At 37.0% G+C, this 18,960-nt stretch overlaps 1 protein-coding gene across 4 annotated transcripts in view; it reads right to left on the bottom strand.

The window, feature by feature from the left end:
- Positions 1–3,947: 3,947 nt before the first annotated feature.
- The window catches only part of BRMS1L (BRMS1 like transcriptional repressor), a 45,626-nt gene continuing 30,613 nt past the window's right edge, over positions 3,948–18,960 (bottom strand). For 2 of the 4 annotated variants that reach the window (XM_047431806.1, XM_005268128.2), the window contains 6 exons: positions 13,225–13,321; positions 11,958–12,041; positions 10,912–10,976; positions 10,150–10,189; positions 7,879–8,026; positions 3,948–5,551 (listed from right to left, as the gene is read on the bottom strand). In XM_047431806.1, coding sequence (XP_047287762.1) covers positions 5,434–5,551; positions 7,879–8,026; positions 10,150–10,189; positions 10,912–10,976; positions 11,958–12,041; positions 13,225–13,321 — 552 coding nt within the window. In that variant the 3' untranslated portion in view covers positions 3,948–5,433. The remainder of the gene's footprint in view (positions 5,552–7,878; positions 8,027–10,149; positions 10,190–10,911; positions 10,977–11,957; positions 12,042–13,224; positions 13,322–18,960) is intronic. The other 2 variants (NM_032352.4, XM_017021705.1) reach the window with 1 other exon arrangement.

Raw genomic sequence — 18,960 nt, 5'->3', positions numbered from 1 at the left:
GTATAGCTCAAATGTGTGCAGGAAAGACCCAAAGCAAGTTGGCCCTTGTGTAGTGGATAATCTGTTATTATATGTACATATATGAATACATTTATAAAATATAAGTTAACACCATGGAGTGTAAGGTTCAAATCAAAAACTACTAGTCAATGAATCATCTAAACAGTAGCTCAAGTCTTAAAAAAAAAAGTCTTCCTTAATAAGTGCAATTAACCATAGGTGTACCTAAACATAATACACTGAAATCATGCATTTAACTTCAAACAAGTTCAAGCACTTTACTATCTCTGCTATTAACAATGCCATTTTCAAAATCTTTCAATAATAAATGAAATATGATACTTATTTCAACATCCCTCTAACAGCCGATGTCATTTAGCCTCTGCTTAAGGGTCTGGTTTTCTCAGCAGTTTAACATCATTCTGTAACCTTTACTAGCAGAGATAAAATGTGACCACGTGGCCTGCTTCTGAACTAGAATTATGATAATTCTCTCAAGAGAATGCAACAGTCTTCTGGCAAGGTCACCACCTCAAACCTGTATTAAAAAATGGGAAAACAGAAAAGGAAGAAAAAAAATAGACTCTAAAGACTGTTACTACATAACTTCTTCTCTTCACTTTCCTTTAATAAAATGTGTCTTGAAAGAGAACAAATTAGCTTCAAGTTAAACAGCAAAGAAATTTTAGCCTTCTACCACTAAACAGATATATTTTTCAGAAAGAGTAGCAACATAACAGTTTTAGAACATCCAGCCTATAAATTTTGGGCCAAGTGCAGTGGCTCACGCCTGGAATCCCAGTAAATAATCCCAATGTAATCCCAATGTAAATTATTAAACTGACACTTGGTGTACACTTTAATCCGCTGTAAATTGACCAGTCTAATGTTTCCAGAATTGTCACTTTGGGGCATCTATTAGTTTGCTAGGCCTGACATAACAAAATACCACAGACTAGCTGGCTTAAATAACAGAAATTTATTTTCTCACAGTTCTGCAGGCTGGAAATCCAAGATCAAAGACATGATTAACTTCATCACCTCTCTCAAGCCCCTATCATCAAATATAGTCATATTCTGAGGTACTGGGGGGTAAAGCTTCAATATATGATTTTGGGCCAGGTGTGGTGGCTCACGCCTGTAATCCCAGCACTTTGGGAGGCCGAGGAGGGCAGATCATGAGGTCAGGAGTTCGAGACCAGCCTGACCAACATGGTGAAGCCCCATCTCTATTAAAAATACAAAAATAAGCCAGGCATGGTGGCATGCACCTGTAATCCCAGCTACTCAGGAGGCTGAGGCAGGAGAATGGCTTAAACCCAGGAGGAGGAGGTTGCAGTGAGCCGAGATCACACCACTGCACTCCAGCCTGGGCAACAGAGCAAGACTCTGTGTCAAAAAATAAATAAGTAAATAAATAAAAAAAATAAAATAAATATTATATATATATATGAATTCTGGGGGCACAAAGTTTAGCCCATAACAGATCATATAAAGTTCAAGTTTCTGTACCTATGAAATAAAAAGCAAGACTTTGGCCCACAATGACCAGTAGGGAACTATCCCTGTTAAACCCTAACTGACACACCAGCCACAACTCTTGTACTTCATCCATAGACAACATAAGGAACATTCATTTTTCTCTAACCCCATTCTGAGCATTCATGTTCTTTTTTTTTTTTTTTTTTTTTTTTTTTGAGACGGAGTCTCGCTGTCGCCCAGGCTGGAGTGCAGTGGCGCAATCTCGGCTCACCGCAGGCTCCGCCTCCTGGGGTTCACGCCATTCTCCTGCCTCAGCCTCCCGAGTAGCTGGGACCACAGGCGCCCGCCACCTCGCCCGGCTAATTTTTTGTATTTTTTAGTAGAGACGGGGTTTCACCGTGCTAGCCAGGATGGTCTCGATCTCCTGACCTCGTGATCCGCCCGCCTCGGCCTCCCAAAGTGCTGGGATTACAGGCGTGAGCCACCACGCCCGGCCTCATGTTCTTTTTAAAATATTTTAATTTCCTCATCTTTAGCAACTAAAATCGTTTGCATTCCAATTTAGCAAGAAACTACATAAATCCTAAGTAATGTATTAATTCATCCTACATCCATCCTTTTTTTTTTTTTTTTTTTTTTTTTTTGAGACAGAGTCTCACTCTGTCACCAGACTGGAATACTGGAATGCAGTGGCATGATCTCAGCTCACTGCAACCTCCGCCTCCCAGGTTCAAGCGATTCTCCTGCCTCAGCTTCCCAAGTAGCTGGAACTACAGGTGCGCGCCACCACACCCAGGTAATTTTTGTATTTTTAATAGAGACAGGGTTTCACCATGTTGGCCAGGATGGTCTCAATCTCTTGACCTTGTGATCTGCCCGCCTCAGCCTCCCAAAGTGCTGGGATTACAGGCGTTAAGACACCACGCCCGGCCTATCCTATATCCATTTTCTTATAAGAGAAATTCATTTTAGTTCAGTTTTATTGTACTGGATTTACTGGGTCCAAAAACAAAAAGAAAAAACAGATAACTTCTCCTCTAGGTGTTAAGTAGATTTTTTCCTCATCTTCTTAACTCTTATCATAACAGAAATTAAAGTGCACAAGACCATCAAAAATATGTGATTTGGTTGTACCCTAAATATGGGGCACATGTCCTCAGGACCTCCTGAGGCTATGTCATGGGAAAAAAAATGTTATATATATATATATATATATATATATATATATATATATATATACACACACACATATACAGCCAGTTGTGCTGCCATATTAAAGGTTCAATTCTTTCTACTGTTCCTGAATCTTTGGAAGTTTTTCTTCTTTTTAAATAATTATTAATGAGGCATACATGGTTCTGCAACTGGTGTTCCAAGTAATGCATACATCAGAACAACTTTTACATGAAGAAGGCTGCAAAAAAGTACTGTGTCCAGCCCACCAATATGAACAGTGAAAAAGGGGACAAATCAGGAGTGTGCCATTACTATTTGCCAATAATTATTAGTTGAAGAATTGCATTAGTGATACTTAGATAGTATCTCTTTTTAAAAAATGGGAAACAGCAAGGAGGGGATGGATTGAACATGAAAAACTAGGAGCTGTGACAATAAAGGTCAAGAAATGATCCTGAGACAGAAGCTGATCATAAACACAGGAGCAGCAGCAGCCACTACATCACATTTTGGAGTTTCTAATAATTTTCCTAAATTAAACTTTATGACCAGACAACTAATGGCAAACTGCCAATAAGACAATATATTTTATAGCATTTTAGTCATAGATAAGCATATGCTTTTATGAATCTTAATATTATGGTAGAATACTACATAAGATATAAATACTAAAGTTTTGAAAATAAATGTACTAAATCATAGTTTTAAAATAAAGATTTCCTAGGCCAGGTGTGATGGCTCATGCCTATAATCCCAGCACTTTGGGAGGCCAAGGTGTGCGGATCACCTGAGGTCAGGAGTTTGAGACCAGCCTGGCCAACATGGCAAAAACCTGTCTCTACTAAAAATATACAAATTAGCCAGGTGTGATGGTGCACACCTGTAATCCCAGCTACTCAGGAGGCTGAGGCAGGAGAATCACTTGAGCCTGGGAGGCAGATGTTGCAGTGAGCCAAGATCGTGCCACTGCACTCCAGCCTGGGTGACAGAGCAAGACTCCATCTCAAAAAATAAAAATAAAAAAATAAAGATTTTCTATTTAGAATTTCATTAACTTATACAGTACCTTTTAATCAAAGTACAACACATATGCATATATTTTAAAATTAAGTATAACTTAGCTGTCTTGAACATCTAAATATACCCCAGAAAGTGCTGAGGTTACAGGTATGAGCCACTGCACCCAGCCTACTCCATATCTATTAACGTAAACCAATTCAAATCTTTCTTACAAGTGGATAGGTTATAAAAAGAACTAAATACACATAAGTAATCCAAGACACTACAAATCACACTGAAACACATCTTTTTATTATATACTAAATTTAAAAATACAAATCTTATTAAAAATGCTTATCAAACATTGTATACATAAGTACTGTCAAATACTATTGGGTTTTGACATTATGTACATTTGCTAAGGTTAATTAGAAACAGAACAACGTAATATCACTTTGCTGACACTGAATTTCAGCAGTTAAGTGTTTTAAAATTTGGCAACTATGAAGTAGTGATCTGCACAGGAAGATGTTTGGAGAGGTAAAATAATAAGAAAACAAACGGAATAATGCAGACATTTCTGCAGTAAGTGTTAATAAGTAGATTTCTTCCTCATCCTCTTAACTCATTGTAACAGAAATTAAAGTGCACAAGACCACCAGGAATACCTGATTTGGTGTACCCTAAATATACACTACAGCCGGCTGTGCTGCCATATTGAGGGTTTCAATTCTTTGTACTGTTCCTGAGGTTTTGGAAGTTAATTTTGAATGTGGCTAGCGGAAGGGAGGCCAACACTTTCTAAATTGCACCAAATGGCCTTAAAGTGTAGAAATACCAAAGAAAAAAATATTAATTTGGAAATAGATTCAAGGAAATAATCCCTGTCTACTTTGCCCTAGGAATAAAATTAGAATAAGGACACAGTTTTACCTCTGGAAAATGCTTACTAAAATCTGTTTCAAAAGACCAGACATGTACAGCAAGCACAATACTGTCAGTTATTGTTCACCACTTATATACTGCATCATAAATACCAGGTATAAATACCTGCCGCTAAAGGGTCACTAGAAATACAGGTAGAAGCATGTTATCACTTTACACTAATTTTACTCATTAGGTATAATTTGTAAAAATAGGTCACCACCCCACCATACAATCAAGAAAGAGGAAAAGAAAAGTTGCTATTCTACAAAAGTGCTCCTTTTAGCTTTCAACCCCAATAGCTTAATTTTGGGTAAAACAAGATTGTAAGGTATGGCCATCAGTTCTAAATAAGCTGATGATGCCATATATACATCCTCATATATATATATGTTTAAATTTCAGTTCTGGTTTAACACTAATGTACTAGTACAAACCATTTATAGGAAACATTCTATCGGCCTTATTTACAAACACACAATGAATGACAAAGATATGGAAAATTTTAAAAATTGCAGATAAATGTAGTCATAGTTTACTAAAGATAAGACAAATTTGCATAACTTTTTTTAAAACCAAAGAAAAATGTTTAGAAAGAAACCCCTACCATATACAGAATACCTATTGGTCATCGGACCTAAGAGGCAAATCAACGTAAGGATCGTGATAAAATTTTTATTACTGTTTCTTTTAATAACATATCAATGAGATCTATTTAGAGTACTACCTACAAATACACATTCTCTCATGATTCAGTGAGAATATTAAGTTATTGAATACATTTTTTTACTCTCATGGCACTTACATTTGGTAACACTAATAAGGTAAATTTAGATAACACTTAAATCATGATTATGAATGTTTAATTGAATATTTTCCTTTCTGTAGCTGTGAAATGTAAAGCTTAGATTTGCTTCCATCAGGCCTCTTAAACCAAACTTCATCATGGTTAATTGTTGTAATTACAGCACTAAAAAGAAAAAAAAAAGAATGAATGAATGAATTACAATGTCTCCTCAATTCACTTTAGATTATTACCTATATAAAACCAAAATAAACTGGCCTACAACAGTAGACTCAGGTATATAATTGTCATTTACCAGAATGCTGCATATCAGCAGTACATGCTGCCAAAAATATCACATTCAGCAACACAGCAGATCATCCTTCTTTTCTTAATAGAGTTCGTAAAATTTACTTTCTATTAGAACTATTAAAAGCACATTCTTCCTACTCCATCCCCACCCCACCTCTTTAAAAAAAAAAAAAAAAACTGGAGCTAAAAGCGCTATGTATATGGTATTATACTTGTAACTCATGTCAGTATCTTTCAAATGCTAATCTCTAATTCCTAATGTCAAACCATCTACGGTACTTATACCAATTTTTTTTACACTACTAATCTTTACATAAAAAGATCTATTCTTTAAATAGATTTGTATTTTATTCTTTTTTTAATTATTTATTTTTTGTTTATTTATTTTGAGACAGAGTCTCACTCTGTCGCCGAGGCTGGAATGCAGTGGCGCAATCTCAGTTCACTGCAATCTCCACCTCCCCGGTTCAAGTGATTCTCCTGCCTCAGTCTCCCAAGTAGCTGAGACTACAAGCACGTGCCACCATGCCTGGCTAATTTTTGTATTTTTACTAGAGACGGGGTTTCACAATATTGGCCAGGCTGGTCTTGAACTCCCGACCTTGTGATCCACCCTCCTCGACTTCCCAAAGTGTTGGGATTACAGGTGTGAGCCACTGCACCCGGCCTAATTATTTATTTTTTAAAGAGTGAATAGGAATTTTTTTTTTTTGAGACTGGGTTTCTCTGTCACCCAGGTTAAAATGCAGGGCCACAATCAGGGCTCAACCTCTCAGGCTCAAGTGATCTTCTCATCTCAACCTGAGTAGTTGGGACTAAGGATAATTTTTTTACTTTGTAGAGATGGGGTTCTCTACAAAGAGACCAGCTAGGGCTGGTCTCAAACTCCTTGGCTCAAGTGATTCTCCTGCCTTGGCCTTCCCAAGTACTGGAATTACTACAGGAAAGATCTATTGTACCTGGCCTCATCTCTTTTTAAACAACTTTTATGCTAAGTAGTAGTAAAATATCTCAAAAACAATAACATAAACAGAAGAATCCAGGAGTATCATATATAAACTAGTAGTTCAATGAGCTTCTATAAGAAAAGTTATTATACACAATGTTCCTGGAATCCTAAAAATTTAAAGACAAAATTATCTTACAATTAAAACCACTGTATTTGGAAAATGCATACTGTAGACTAAACTCAAGTTGTTTTATTTACCACTGACACCTACAAAACCATATTTTGTTACCACAGAAGTTTACTACTCTGAGAATTAAATCCTACACTACTGGAGAATGAAAGATGATTAACAATATTTTCAAAAGGTCACAACCAGATAAAACTTAGAAGGCTATACAAATAGTTATATAAACTTTATTTAAGCCTAGACATATTACTAGGACTTTTAAAAGGCAGTTTTCAAGTTACACTGTGTTGTTGTTGTTGTTTGTTGTTGTTGTTGTTAGAGAGACAAGGTCTCACTCTGTTGCCCAGCCTGGAGTACAATGGTGTGGTGAAATGATACCTTGCTGCAGCCTCAAACTCTTGGGCTCAAGCGATCCTCCTGCCCAAGCAGCTAGGACTATAAGCACACACCTCCACACCTGGCTAATTTTTTTATTTTTTGTAGAGACAGGGTCTTGCCAAGTTGTCCAAGCTAGTCTTGAACTCCTGGCCTCACCCAATCCTGCCTCAGCTTCCCAAAGTGCTGGAATTACAGATGTCAGCCACTGCACCCAGCCCTAGATTATACTTTAATTACTATTAATCTTAAGGGTTTTATTAATTTTCCATTTATTTCCTACTCTAATTGATACAAATTCTTTTTATCTAAAATATTGTAACACATCCAAAAAAGTTAAAGATTATTAGGTCCACCAAAAATTCATAATAGTCAGGTTTAAGGGTCATTATAGCACGATCCTAACGATTCACCTACTAAAAGAATTAAGAAACAGGATCAGCTACCTGGCTAAATAATTTCAACATTTCTACTTGCATTAAAGTTTGTGTTCATAAACTTAATATGAAGTCTGGTTCATACATATTAACACTGCTGTACACACATGTAATCAAGCCATATGTCAAGTGAAAAAAGGATCCACAAGCAACTAATGATATAGGCACACTATGGAGGCAGGAAATATTTCACTGACAACGATGTTGTAAATGACAATACTGAGCAACACTGAAATAACAAAGGCTTTTTTACCTTGTAGGACATTCATCTTTTTTATCAATACATATTGTTTGTCCACGTATATACCATTCACCATCATAATATAGTCTTCCCTCTTCAGATCTAGCACTGTGCAGATGTTTTTCCAGTTTCACAGGTGCTAAAGGGATCAGTTCAAAAACTGTTATATTAATAAAACACTGTCAGAAGAACAAAGGGTCAGAACATTAACAATTAACATCAATCCATGCATATGTAAAAAAGGCCTAAAAATATTTCTTAAATAACAAACCTAAAATGTAATAAAAAGATTTATTCCTTACATTCTTTTACATAATCACTAAGTTTTTAATATAACTACTAAACAAAGCTAAACAATGAACAATAAATCATCAATTGACTAATTAAGTACCAGAAGGGGAAGCAGGTATGTTATCAATTACTAGTGTGAATTTTAAGTAGTATTTAAAATATCAATTGCCATATTTCAATTGAAAATTATACTTTTTATTTTTTCCCCTGCGGGCATCTGATATACCGAAAGAAGCAGAGTTTAATACATGTTCCAAGCATTCCCCAGGCTTTTAATTCTAAAAAGGAAATGTCCTAAGTACAACTTCTATTTTTAAATTCCAGAAATCATCTGGCATTAGTCAGATAACTCATACAGGAAAAAAAAATCTTTTTTATGGAAACACAGTGTCAAAAGCATACCATGAAGTCATTCAAATGTCAGCTCCTGAGAGGTCTTCCCTAACTACTCTACCCACTCCTCAGCTAATTGTTATATCAACTGCACAGTTCTTTTAGAGTAATTATTATAATCTGTAACTATCTTCTTAACTGTTTATCTACATATATATGATTCCACCTCCCCTAAAGAGGCTCCAGGAGATCCATATTTCTTTTACCATTGTATTCTCAGGGCCTAAAATACCATCGGGTATATTCATTCATTCATTCATTCATTCATTCAACAAATGTTGTCTGAACACTTCCTATACACAAGGAAGTATGCTGGGGAAAAAACTGTGACCAAAAGAGATATGGTTCTAGCCTTTGTGGAGCTTACAATCCAGTCAGGAGATAGACAAAATTAAAAAGTACAAATTGAGTGAAGTGCTATGAGTAAAACTAATAGGATACAATGCTGAAGATAAGAGTGGGAGGGAGACACACTCAACTATGATAATGAGATTCTCAAAAGGAATCTATTACCCAAAAATGTTAAGAACCACTGCTCTACAGGTCTAGGCAGCTGCTCTGGCAGTTAATTCCCCAGGGCAAATACTGCTGCAATTTCCTCACAAAATAAAAAGTTTAAAGGAATCATGGGGTTAAAAATAAAATGCAATTTTTTTTTTCTTAGAGATGGAATCCTGCTCTGTTGCCCAGTGTAGTGGTGTGATCATGGCTCACTGGAGCCTCGACCTCCAGGGCTCAGGTGATCCTCCCACCTCAGCCTCCCAAGAGGCTGAGACTACAAGTACACACCGCCAAGCCTGGCTAATTTTTGTATTTTTTTGTAGAGATGGGGTCTTGCCATCTTGCCCAGGCAGATCTCAAACTCCTGGGCTCAAGTGATCCTCCTGCCTTAGCGTCCCAAATTGCTGGGATCATGCTAGGCATGAGCCACCATGCCCAGCCTAAACAGAAATTGGTCTCTTATCGATTACTTAAGCTGTTTAAATGTGACTAGAAATTCCTTTCCTAAGTATTTCAAATATGTTTTTCTTTTTAGTCTAGCTTCATTGTCCTTAGAAGGATTAGGAAATCTCACCTATAGTGAAAGAAGGCAGAAACAGAGAAACTTATCCTAAACACCATCACATTTTGGCAGTGATTTTAGACTTCCAAAAAAAAAATCAAGGAAGTGTAACTTGATATGAATTTTACTAAGGCATATCAGCATTCTGATCTCTCTCCTCAGAAAATGCACATGCAGAATTTTGCACATAATTTCAGAGGATTCACAGAATCTCTGAAGCCAATCCACAAATTCCAAATACCTCCCCTATAGAATGACAGAGCCCATAAAAAACACTGCATAAATACTTTTTTGAGTTACTGATCCATTATTAGCAATAAGAATGTAGCTGAACACTGAAATAATTATACCACATTCAGAAATTTTGAAACTTTTACGTGAAGCAATGACTCCAGAAGAATTCCTCATAATTTCAGGCACGGTGTTCACTGATGAAATAAAACCACTGATTCAAGAGTTCTTTAGTACGTAGATAACAACCCTGATTCAACAAGTCTCCAAAGAGAATATTTCCCAACTCAGACTAAATGACTTACGTTCCGTTTTCACTCTGTGTGGCCCCAATGTAGCCATTGCCTTAATTAAAAAAAAAAAAAAAGAGGAAGAAAGAAGTCTGAGTTCAGACTGAAAATATATTTTGGTATCTATTTAATATATACAATATTACCGATTAACTCCATAACAAAGACAGTAAAGTATAACCATTAGCTGCTCTAACAAATTTTTAATGTCTAAGACCATAAAGAATATGAGGGATAACAATTTCTCCTAGAGGTGTTTTCAATACCTGAAATAATCTCTAATTCTCAACTAAGAAATTTACAAAAATGAAAAAATGTAATATGGAAAACAAGCCTCCACTTTCAGGCAAGAAAAGAAAAGCCTATGATTCTTGAATGTTTAATGATAGGATGCAAGACACATAAGGGTTCAAATGTTCTTTTGTTCAACAAATATTTATCAAGTGTTTTCTATAAGCCAGGACCAGCCAAAGGACTAGGCACAGATGGTGATGTTATTATTTTTGGGCAGACTAAATAAATGTTTTTTGGACTTTTCCATAAATTATTAGTTACATTATTATAGAAAAAATACAATCAAACTGCTGACATGTCTCTAACTCTTAAAATATCCTTGTAGTTCACTGCTATCTGTAATAGTATTAAATTGCCTTAGAAAAATGTTGCAAAAGCAAAGCATATTTACAATAATATTTTGATGTACTAACAAAAAAAACATAGAATCTTAAAAAGTAGACTATAAAAACATACTTGTGTTCCACTGCTCATTAATCATACCTTCCTAATTGTTGTCCAGTCTTCAAGAATATCAAGATCTTGTAGCATATAAACTATATATGGACGTTGAATAGTCAAGGTCAATTTAGCTGTAAGAATATCACACTTTGAATTATATTTCCAAAGTACTACATTTCAGAAAATGGAACGATGATTTATGAGCATAATGCTTTGGCATCCTAAATTCTGACTTCAAATTATTCTTCAAACCACTTAGTACCAGCATAAATACAGTCTAGTACTTCTGATGTCATAACTACATGCCCTTAATTCCATGATATCATTGATTGTAATATACATCACTAACACAATCACTGGTTTTTAAGGTGGAGGGGAAAAGATGGGGGTAGAGGGATGGTACCATAGAGAATGCCGAAACTGAATATACGTATTAATTTACACTCCAATTTTGGAAACATTTAAAAATGTTTTTAAAAAGTATACGAGGCTAGGCACAGTGGCTCATGCCTGCAATCCTAGCACTTTGGGAGGCCAATGCAGGCTTAAGCCCAGGAGTTCAAGACCAGCCTGGGCAACACGGCAAAACCCCATCTCTACAAAAAATACAAAAATTAGCCAGGCGAGTGGCACGTGCCTGTAGTCCCAGCTACTTGGGAGGCTAAGGTGGGAGGATCACCTGAGCCCGAGAGGTTGAGGCTAAGGTGAGCCATGATTGTGCCACTGCACTCCAGCCTAGGTGGCACAGTGAGACCCTGTCTCAAAAAGAAAAAAAAAGTACACATGAGAATTAAACAATCATACTGTATACTAAACGACTGTTTCACATCAAAGCCCTTGGTGAACGACAAGTCACATTAATTTTCAAAGTTGAGATCATGATTGAATTTCTTCTCCTCTGCCACCTCTCCTGACCTAAAGTATACACTATATCCTCTGTCTTCAATCGGTTTTATAAATAAATCATCTTTTGCTTATTACAGGATCATGCAAATAAAGTCAGTGTTTACAAATAAAAGTTATAAAGGCATGCACAATGGAAAAACGCACATCAAGGAAAAAAAAACAGAAAATTTGGAAAAGGATATCTGAAACAACAACTGGCTTCTTTTTGTCAGGACTGAAAGGATCCTTCCTCTTTTTTCTTGACTGAAGCTCATCATTCCACAGCTCTGGCAGGTAAATAAAGATTAAGTATTAGTGGGTTTCTGGTGAACAAAGGAGGAAAAAAGACTCTAATTTTATGGTGGCTATTTAGTTACATGTAAAAACGTAAAAAACTTCATTGGCAGCTGGGTATATATAGATTAAGCTGTACATAATTTCATGAGCACTACGTGTTTAAGTTTTGCTCTGCCTTTATTAAAGCAAAAATCAATTTGGCACTTCATGACTAAGAACTGATTACCATATTGTCATGCACTTTGTAAAATGTATATTACATGCATTGTCTCACCTAATCCCCAAAGCTACCACTGAGGTAGGTATTCTTATTACTTTCCTTTTACAGACAAGGAGATTGATTTAGAAAAGTGAAGTAACTGTCCATGGTCACCAGACTAGTAGGTGAGGGAGCACTGGCACTAGAGCTCAGCTTATCTGACTCCACCATGCCTACCCTATAGAGAACTAAACTTTATAACAGATAAAGTAATATATACTCAAGAACTGTAGGATAACCTAGTAGACCTTCCACTCAATGCAAAAAACCTTTCTGTAACACCCTGAAAAAGCCAATTTCACACTGGACTGATCTAATCATTAATAAGTTATTCCTTTTTCTGAAACAAAAATCTACCTCCCTATAACTTCTATCAGTTTGTCCTACCTTGTATGATGTCAAAAAGGTTTTCATTCCTTCTTCCACATAACAGTCTTTCAAGACTTACAAGGAAAAACATATACTATAGCTAATTTCCAATACTATTCTTTTTTTTTTTGGAGACAAGATTGCCCAGTCTGGAGTGCAGTGGCGCCATCATGGCTCACTGCAATTGCAATCTCGAACTCCTGGGATCAAAGGATGCTTCCGCCTCAGTCTCCTGCATAGCTGGGACTGTAGATATAGATGTGCAGCACCACATCCAGCCCTGACACTATTCTGCCAGTAGGTTCCTGTCATACTTCTGTTTCGTCCCTTGTCGTGTGCTCCATTTTTTACATCTTTCTAAAGTGTGAATTCAAATAACAATAACAATATAATCACCATCACTTTAGAGTTCTTCCCCTTTTCTCCTTTGCTGGGACATTTCATTTACATAATATTAATATTAGAAGACTGAGATACGATATGACACTACAGTAAACCAAAGGTCTGGTGCCACTCAAACATCACAATCATATCATTCTCCTTACCTGAGGTAATATCAATGCTGTGCCTATCCTCTTCAAGCCTTCTTATCTTCTCCTCTAGTTCACTCTGGACTGTATCATATAGCAACAGCTTTTCGCTCTGGGGAGAAAAACAGATTATACTTAAGTAGAAAGAAAAAAATTGGTGTATCTTAACTAAGAGTACCAAATAACTTAAAGTACTTTAATATATGATGCTTTGGTTTGCTTTTTCAATTCAATTAAAAATTCTAAAGAAGAAATGTCAAATACATGAAAGAAATAAAACTAGAAAATATAGAATCTATATATAGATTTAACTACATGCAATTACATTCTGTATAAGAGCATCTAAATTATGTCTGATGTACATTTAGAGGTAAATATTTACTTTATAAAAAACTCATAGCAAACCCCTATGGCCCCTTTTAAATTTAAGTAGGTCCCATCTGTCACCATCATGGAAAACTTATCCTATAAAGTATATCATTATAAAATGGATCATATTTTCTCACAGGAATAATAATTGGGTCATTATGCCTCACTAATATCTCAGCATCATATTAAAATAGGCAAAGAGAAAGATTCAAGTACAAATTTTATGATTATTTAAAATAATTCAATTATAGTCTAAATTATAAAATTACAGACTAATCATATCCAAATCTTTCTACAAAACCATAGACAGATTGAATTGCTACAACATACAAGACTGGCAAATAGACTAGAACCCAGGTCTACTAGCTCTAGTCCATGTTTTTAATTATATAATACTGTAGCCCTAATTTAAAAAGCCATAAAATGTACATAATATATAAAGATCAATTACACAAAAAAACCTATGGCCACATGTTTACCTCTAGTGAAGGATATTAGATAATTGGATATAGCAGATATGACTGTCTTGCGGAAGCTATTGGGATATAGTTGGATATGACTACATGTAGAAAACACAGGCCACACCCATGTAGGCTGCATTCCTGGTGTCAATCATGAAGCCCTCTCTCTTGAGTCTGAAATTTAGAAATTATACATGCTTGAAGGGTTTCCTGAGTGTCAGGGAAAAGATGGCTTACAAACTTGAGGCAAGCCAGGTGCTAAGGAGAAAGCAAAGCTGAAAACTAAAACTAGATTTCATATCAAACATGGTTTCATTGCATGCTGTTCTCTCTGCTTACTTCCTTTTGCTTGTTCCCTTGCCTTTAGTAAAGTCTTATGAAATATTCCAGCTTTATCTATATTGTGCTGCAAAACTCGGAAAATATCAGAGAAAAAGGGAGAGCAGTTCCCCTCCACAAGACCGTGGTAGCAGCTATAAATAGATCCAATCTCCCCAACCAAAGATGACTCTAAATACAGAGCTGGAGTGATAAGCCTTTTGCTGTTAAGGATATGAACATTTAATTGGTGTATTCTCTTTTCTTCCTATTGACAAATTAGGCCAAGCAGAAATTCTTTTAAAAATCCACTAATCATTCTTTATTATTTTTTAAAAAGCCACAATGAAACTGAAATGTTTGAAGCATTGAAGGCATCTCTAAAAATATCAGAAGTATACTTTAAACTGCCATGAATCCATTCTCATTCTTATTTCTCTTTCTTTTTCTTGGAAAGTTCTCTCCCTTTTCTCCAGCTTCTCAAGACACTCAAAAACCTCCCCTGAATGGAAAATGAAGCCCTAATGGAACAGCTAGAAGATACCTGGAAAAGAAGGGGGCTAACTCTCTTGCTTTGGTGGCTGTGGAGTTTTCTATGTTCAATAGTTACTTTGGTTTTTAAAAAAATACTACTCATAAGTATAGGTTTGGTCTCAAGATCCCACATCCCTCTAGTCTTCACATCTAGACTTACTGATCCTGCTCACTAATAACCCCTTTCCCAGGCTGACGCCTATGCTGTTTCTCATCAGGAGAGCTTTAAAAAGCCCCAGGAAAGTGGCCCCAAGCTTCCATTATTGTACCGACCTCACACTGACCTGTATTCAGAACCAACTCCTCTTTGGCAGTTCCCTGACTTAACATACCTCACAATTCTCAACTTCTATCAGGACTGGAGCCCTGGAAGATTTTCATAGGCTATTATCAGAGAGTGACCCATTAAAACGCTACAATAGTTTTTTTTTTTTTTTTTTAAGCATACTGCACTGGAATAAAAAAAATGCAGAGTAGAATTTTAAAACTTAGAAACAGACTCTGGCTATGCGGAAATGACAAAGGTGACTTTTTAAATCATCTGGGAATCTGACAATAAATGACAAGAGAAAAATGAGTTTAGGCCAGCCACGGTGGCTCATGCCTGTAATCCTAGCACTTTGGGAGGCTGAGGCAGGTGGATCACTTGAGGTCAGGAGTTCAAAACCAGCCTGGCCAACATGGTGAAACCTCGTTGTCTACTCTACCAGAAATACAAAAAAATTATCCAGACATGGTGGTAGACACCTGTAATCCCAGCTACTCAGGAGGCTGAGGCACTAGAATCGCTTGAGCCCAGAAGGTGGAGGTTGCAGTAAGCCGAGATCATGCCACTACACTACAGCCTGGGTGACAGAGCAAGACTCTGTCTCAAAAAAAAAGAAAAATGATTTTAACTATATCCTGAATATTTTTTGCTTTACATTATACAATTTACATTACACATAAAAGTAAATGGACTAAAGGATTAAATTTATAAAATGAAAGCTAAAAGAAAATATTAAAGAAACAATATATAAGAAATTTCCCAGAACTGAAGATACGAATTTTTTTATTAAACAGTTCATCTGGTCAGGCACAATGGCACACACCTATATTCCAGCACTTTGGGATACGGAGGCAGGAGGATCACTTGAGCCCAGGAGTTTGAGACCAGCTTAGGCAACACAGTGAGACCCCATCTCTACAAAATATTTTTTAAAATTAGCTAAGCATGGCAGCGTGGGCCTGTAGTCCCAGCTACTCAGGCAACTGAGGCAGGAGGATTACTTGAGCCCAGGAGTTGGAGGCTGCAATGAGCTATGATTGCACCACTGTACTCAAGCCTGGGCAATAGAGCGAGACTCTGTCTCTTTAAAAAAAAATTCAAATAAATAAATACATAAAATCAAAAGTTCCTCTGGGTATCCAGCACAATGAACGAAAAAAGACCACATCAAAGCACATCATCTCACAATCCCACAATACCAAGACAAGAATAAAGAGAAGATCCTAAAAGTATTCAGGAAGAAAACAGGTCATGTACAAAGGATCAGGAATCAAAATGGTAAGAGACTTTACAAAAGCAACGCTGGAAGCTAGAAGATAATGGAACAATGCCTTCAAAATTCTGAGGAAACATGATTTCTATCTAGAATTCCATACTCTTAAGTGTGAGCGTCAAGATGTTTTCAGACAGGAAAGATGTGGTGGTTTTAAAACATGTCCAATAATCCTTTGATACTCCTAATTTCAAATGGTAGAGACTAATACTCTTTCTTGAATACGGGTAGGATGGGCCAGGCACGGTGGCTCACGCCTATACTCCCAGCACTTTGGGAGGCTGAGGCTGGCGGATCACTTGAGGTCACAAGTTCAAGACCAGCCTGGCCAACATGGTGAAACCCAGTCTCTACTACAAAAAAGGAAAAAATAAGCCGGGCGTGGTGCAGGAACCTGTAATCCCAGCTACTCGGCAGGCTGAGGCAGGAGAATCACTTGAACCCAAGAGGTGGAGGTTGCAGTGATCCGAGATTGCACCACTGCACTCCAGCCTGGGTGACTAAGCAAGGCTCCATCTCAAAAAAAAAAAAAAAATGGGTAAGATATAGCAACTGACTTCTAGTGAACAAAATCTGGCAGAAATCTAGGCCATAAAAACAGTCACCTCTGTCTTGCTATCTTGGATCACTAAGTCTGGAAGAACCTGGGTACCAGGTTATGAGGACACTCAATCAGCCTGTGGAGAGGCCCATGTTCTCACATGGGTTCTCTAAGGCTTCTCACCAAGAACCAGCAACAACTTGCCAGCCTGCGAGTGAGTCACCTTAGAAGCGGATCCTCCAGCCTCCAATCAAGCCTTGAGATGACTGCATCCCTGGCTGATATCTTCACTGCAACTTCTTGGGATTCCCTGAGCCAGAACCATCCAGCTAAGTTGCTCCCAAATTCCTGGCCACTGAGACTGCAAAATAATAAATGTTTATTGTTGTGTTAAGCCACTAAGTTTTGGAGTAATTAATTATAAAGCAATAGACAAGCAATACAAGAAATCTCAAAAAACTAACTTCTAGAAATCCTTTGTCAGGATGCTACTGAAAGATACACTCTACCAAACTTAAGGAGAAAATAAGATGCTAGCAGAGGAGAGGTGAAGGGGACATCCAGGTTGCTGGTAAAGAGATGCCCCAAGAAGACAGATGCAGCTGGCCTCCAAATGAAAGATGGAGCAGGAGGATAGGGGACACGAGGGATAGAGGGGTTGCTTCCAGGAGGGAGCCCTTCAGAAGAAAATGAGGCTGATGGATTATCTGATAAGTTTGATCGCAGAGAAAACAGCGTTAGGACTTCAGTGTCTGAAAGAAGCAAATATGAGGGGGTTTTCTAGGTCATTCTAGAAGTCATCAGAAGACACTGTTTACACCTAACTTTAAAACGAGAAGCAGTTTTGACCTTTACTGGACAGGAGTTTAAATCTTCATACAGTTGAAAACTTATGAGAGGTCCAGTGCTTTTTTTTTTTTTTTTACTTTTCTTGAGTCCATTAGGTAACATGCTCTTTATTTTGTGGAATACTCAGGCTTCATGAAAAATCAATACAACTGTACATGTTTAGCTTAATTAAAAAAAAAAACAGCATTAGGAGGCCCTCATAGATCTGCTAAGGTCTGTAGGAAGAATTGATAAACACAGAGAAAACTAACAAACAATAAATGAAGCAATTATTAATTCCAAAGTTTAAAAAAATACACAAGAAAAATTTTAAACATAATGTAACTCTTGACTCAGTAAACAATATTTATAATTTAAAACAAAAACTGTAACACAACAGTATTAGAAGAATGAAACAGAAAAATCCTCAGCTTCCATAATAGGAAACCAATAGATAATGTCTAAAACTGCTTTATTTAGAAATATGAGGGCCAGGCGCAGTGGCTCACACTTATAATTCCAGCACTTTGGGAGGCCAAAACAGGAGGATCACTTGAGGCCAGGGGTTCAAAACCAGCTGGGCAATATAGCAAGACCCCCATCTCTATAAAAAAATTTTTTTTTAAGAAAGGAATATGAGGGTAAATTCCAGAAGCAACTGATACACAAGTTAGAAATATAATTGCCACTGGGATACAGAATTTAAAAATAGGACAGAAGACTGCTGTTTTTCATTATAAATTATAAGGCTATGCCTTCAAAAATATATACACACATTACCTACTAACAACAAACATATATATATATACACACACACACACACACACATATATATGTATATATACATATATATATATATTTTTTTTTTTGAGACGGAGTCTTGCTCTGTCGCCCAGGCTGGAGTGCAGTGGCATGATCTCATCTCACTGCAACCTCCGTCTCCCAGGTTCAAGCAATTCTCCTGCCTCAGCCTCCCAAGTAGCTGGGATTACAGGCAAGTGTGACCACGCCCAGCTAATTTTTCTATTTTTGGTACAGACGGGGTTTCATCATATTGGCCAGGCTGGTCACAAACTCCTGACCTCAAGTGATCTGCCCGCCTTGGCCTCCCAAAGTGCTGGGATTACAGGCATAAGCCACCGTGCCCGGCCACAACAAA

The sequence above is a fragment of the Homo sapiens genome, chromosome 14 (genome assembly GCF_000001405.40).
Source record: "Homo sapiens chromosome 14, GRCh38.p14 Primary Assembly".
Lineage (NCBI taxonomy): Eukaryota > Metazoa > Chordata > Mammalia > Primates > Hominidae > Homo > Homo sapiens.
Note: the sequence above shows the minus strand (reverse complement) of the source record. Positions and strands in the feature narration are given on the sequence as shown.